Here is a 5,246-nt window from a genome sequence, read left to right on the forward strand (position 1 = left end):
AGAGGATGATCCTTCAGGGCTTGGTGCTGCCTTCGTAATAGTGAGTTCTCATCAGATCTGGTTGTTTAAAAGTGTGTGGTATCTCCAGCTGGGCGCGGTGGCTCATACCTGTAATCCCAGCACTTCGAGAGGCTGAGGTGGGTGGATCACTTGAGGTCAGGAGTTTGAGACCAACCTGGCCGACATGATGAAACCCTGTCTCTACTTAAAATACAAAAATTAGTCAGGTGTGTTGGCACACCCTTGTAATCCCAGCTACTTGGGAGGCTGAGTTGAGAGGCTCACTTGAACCCAGGAGGTGGAGGTTGCAGTGAACCAAGATGGCATCACTGCACTCCAGCTTGGGCAACAGAGCGAGACTCTGTCTAAAAAAAAAAAAAAAAAAAAAAAAAAAAAAGTGTGTGGCATCTCCCCTCCATCCTCTTGCTCCTGCTGTTGCCATGTGATGTGCAAACTTGTGCTTCACCTTCTGCCATGAGTAAAAGCTTCCTGAAGCCTCACCAGAAGCCATGTTTCTTGTACAGCCTGCAGAACTGTGAGCCAGTTAATCCTCTGTGCTTTATAAATTACTCAGTCTCAGGTACTTCTTTACAGCAAAGCAGGAATGGCTTAATACAACTAAATAGTAAAATTATTATGGCTATTCTTATTTACTGTTAATTAAATATTTAAGTTTCTTATAGAGTAAGTCTGTGCTTTAAGCAAGGCCTCAAGTGAACTAGTTTAATTCAGATTCAAATCCCATTTTATTCAGTTCCAAATTATCTACTTTCTATTGTCTTTAACAATATAATTTCTTCTCTTGATAAATTTCATTATGTTCTTATAATGTTAGATTGTCTATTATAAGAATCATAAAAAGCTATCATTTATTAAACTTCATAATACTATAATCTTATTTAATTTTCATACCTGTAAAAGATAAGTTCCTTAAATGCTATAAAAGAACAAGAAGAAGCTATAAAATTAGGTAAGTCACCAGGTCAGACTACAAAGGCCATGCTCTTTCTGCTCTCCTGTTCCATTTTTCATAAACCTGGGAACTTTATCTCTTCTTTATCCTGTTCAACACCTATTAAATTTATTCAGAGTGACAATTACTTCAAACCTCTTTAAGAGCTTATCTAGTTATTTACATATGAGACAGCATGGAAGCGGTAATATACCACAACCAGAGTCAGGCAATACAAACAGGTAGACTTAATCTTGTCCTCCCCAAAGTGTCACTCACCTTTATTGGGACCCCTTGCAAGCATAAACACATTTTTGGACCTTCAGTTGTGCCAACACCACTAGTATTTACATATGGTTAAACAGAAAAAGAAAATGTAAGGCTAAAATCAAATATGTATTCCACTACATCTTAAAATGTTTTTATTGTATTAATCTAAATGGGGCATACATACTACAAACATTTGTTTATATTACTCTTTGACTTATGTACTTTATAAAAACTATAATTATATACATTATAAACATACATTAGAAATACATTGTAATTATACACAGTATAAATATGTACCTATTAACGTATGTGCATACATTAAAATGCTTTTTAAATTTTTATTGCTGGCCAGATGTGGTGGCTCTTCTCTGTAATCCCAGCACTTTGGGAGGCTAAGGCAGGATAATTGCTTGAGGCTAGGAGTGCAAGACCACCCTGGCCAACACGGTGAGATCACATCTCTACCAAAAAAAAGTATTGCCAATGTTAAATTTGAACAACACTCAAAGTAATCCTGTCCTGCCCCTTCTACCACACACCCACTTCCTTACATGCATGCACACAGACACACACACACACACAGAGCAAGTGCAAGCCAAAAGTAAGTTTTCTCTAAGGATTAACAATGTCACTGTACATTCTTTAATGATTCACATGTTAATCATTGATTATGAGCCCTCTCTACTGGGATTCATATTATATATGCCCATTTGTTGATATTAAATGTATCATATAACTTAATCTCTTCCAGCTCTAAATAAGGAAAACTCCTATTTAAATTGGCTTAAAGGCATCTACATTTGTTGTTTTAAAAGCAGAGAAACAGTGTTCAAAGAAAAATAATGCAATCCAGAATATCTACAAGTTACCATAAACAAGCTACATATAGTGGGAAATTTTCTTACTTAGTGCCTTTTATCTAAGCCTACAACTAGGATCATGATCAACAGTGAAAAACTAAATGCTTTCTACTAAAAATCAAGAACAAATAAACAATATCTATACTCACTATTTCTTTTTAACATTATTGTTAGCACAATAAAGCAAGAAAATGAAGTACAAATGAAATGAAAATGAAATGCAAATCAATTGGAAAGGAAGAATTTAAGTGATATTTATTTGCAGATGACATAATTATGTATAGTTAATCCAAGAGTCTATGAAATAACTACTGAAACTAATAAGTGAATTTAACATGTTACAGAATATAAGGTTAATATAAAAATTAATTACATTTCTATACCTGCAATGAACAATTAGAAGATGAAATGATATGTTGTGTTTATAGGTGGAAAATTAAATATTGTTAAGATAGTGATATTGCTAAGCTGAAGAAGTCAAATACAAAAGAATACCTATTTATTATACACTTACAAAATTTTGAAAAACACAAAAAATAGTGACAGAAAAACAAATCAGTGATGGTCAGAGGTTGAGTGAGAATGGAGGGAGGAGGTCAACTGCAGAAGGACAGCAAGAAAATTTTAGAGTGAGGAGGGTGATCTCTCTCTTGGTTATGGTGGTTACTACATGATCCTATAAAACTACCCCACTGAAAATGATGTAAACGTATTGAATATTATAACTAAATGACAAAACTGGTAATACAAATATGAAAAAGGTAAATAGGCATGAAACACTGAATTTACTATGATTTTTAATCAAAAATTTATAATTTCTTTATTTCCATAGTTTATGCAAAACAGGTGGTATTTGGTTACACGAATAAGTTATTTAGTGGTGATTTCTGAGATTTCAGTGCACCCATCACCAAGCAGTGTATACTGTACCCAATGTGTAGTCTTTTGTACCTTACCCCCTTCCCACCCTTCCCCCAGAGCCCCCAGAGTTCATTATATCATTCTTATGCTTTTGTATCCTTGTAGCTTAGCTCCCACTTATAAAAAAGTGAGAACATACGCTGCTTGGTTTTCTAAATTGCTTCACTTATAATAGTCTTCAACTCTATTCAGGTTGCTGCAAATGCCATTATTTCATTTTTTTATGGCTGAGTGGTATTCCATGAGATATATGTAGATATACATATAGATATATGTGTGTATATATATGATATATATACATATATGTGCATACATGTGTGTATATATACGATATATATACATATATGTGCATACATATGTGTGTATATATACGATATATACATATATGTGTATACATGTGTATATATACTATATATGTGTATATATACTATATATGTGTATACATATGTGTGTATATATGATATATACATATATGTATACGTGTGTATATATGATACATACATATATGTATACATGTGTGTATACATGATACATACATATATGTGTATACATGTGTGTATACACGATACATACATATATGTGTATACACGTGTGTGTATACATGATACATACATATATGTGTATACACGTGTGTGTATACATGATACATACATATATGTGTATACACGTGTGTGTATACATGATATATACATATATGTGTATACACGTGTGTATACATGATATACACACACGTGTATACACGTGTGTATACATGATATACACACACGTGTATACACGTGTGTATATATGATATACACACACGTGTATACACGTGTGTATATATGATATACACATACGTGTATACACGTGTGTGTATATATGATATACACATACGTGTATACACGTGTGTGTATATATGATATATACATACGTGTATACATGTGTGTATATATGATATATACATACGTGTATACATATGCGTATATATGATATATATACACATATATGTGTGTGTATATGATATATACATATATGTGTACACATATATGTGTGTATATGATATATATACATATATGTGTACACATATATGTGTGTATATATGATATATATACATATATGTGTACACATATATGTGTGTATATATGATATATATATATTTTTTTAACATAAAGCAGTCTATTTTTCTTAAAAAGAAGGTACATGGTCACAATCCAAAATGTTTTATACAGCTCTCAGCCTGGAAAATGCAATTAATGAAAAAGGCACTGTTTCTAGAACAGATAGAAAAAGAATAAATATGTCACCATTTACCCTGCACAGCTTTGAGTAACACCATAGGATCCTGTCACATGTTCAGGGTCAATTTTAAAAGCTTGAGAAGGTGAAGACATAGCAAGGTGATGTCGTAGACTAGCCAGGCTCCAAATGGAAGAGCTGTCTGTCCCTCCTCACTAACTGTCCTCTCTCTGTCACACAAGTGTCTGTCTCACTGTTCCTCTAGCAGATGTGGAAAGTGGCTGCTCAGTGAGTACTCAGCTCCCACCAGCCTGAGGGTCACACAACACCACGATGGGAAGTCACAAACGGTATATATATATGTGATATTTTTTTCTTTATTTTCTTTTATTTTCTTTATCCACTTGGTTGATAGGCATTTAGGCTGGTTCCATATTTTTCCATTTGTAATTTGTGCCCTACAAACATGCATTTACAAGTGTCTTTTTCATAGAAAGACTTATTTTCCTCTGGGTAGATACCCAATAGTGGGATTGCTCGTTCAAATGGTAGTTCCACTTTTAGTTATTTAAGGAATCTCCATACCATTTTCCATAGTGGTAGTACTAGTTTACATTCCCACCAACACTGTAAAAGTGTTCCCTTTCACCTCGTCCACACAAACATCTATTTTTTTTTTAATTTTTAAATTATGGCTATTCTTGTAGGAGTAAGTTTGTATCACACTGTGGTTTCAATTTGCATTTCCTTGATAATTAGTGATGTTGAGCATTTTTTTCATGTGTTTGTTGGCCATTTGTATATGTCCTTTAGAGAATTGTTTATTCATGTCCTTGGCCCACTTACTGATGTGATTATTTCCTTTTTGCTTGCTGATTTGTTTGAGTTCCTTGTAGATTCTGGATATTCATCTTTTGTCAGATGCATAGTTTGCGAAGATTTTTTCTTACTCTGTGAGTTGTCTGTTTACTCTGCTGATTATTTCTTTTGCTGTGCAGAAAGCTTAATTAACTCCAATCTATTTA

The sequence above is a fragment of the Homo sapiens genome, chromosome 7, assembly GCF_000001405.40.
Source record: "Homo sapiens chromosome 7, GRCh38.p14 Primary Assembly".
In the NCBI taxonomy this organism is placed as follows: Eukaryota; Metazoa; Chordata; class Mammalia; order Primates; family Hominidae; genus Homo; species Homo sapiens.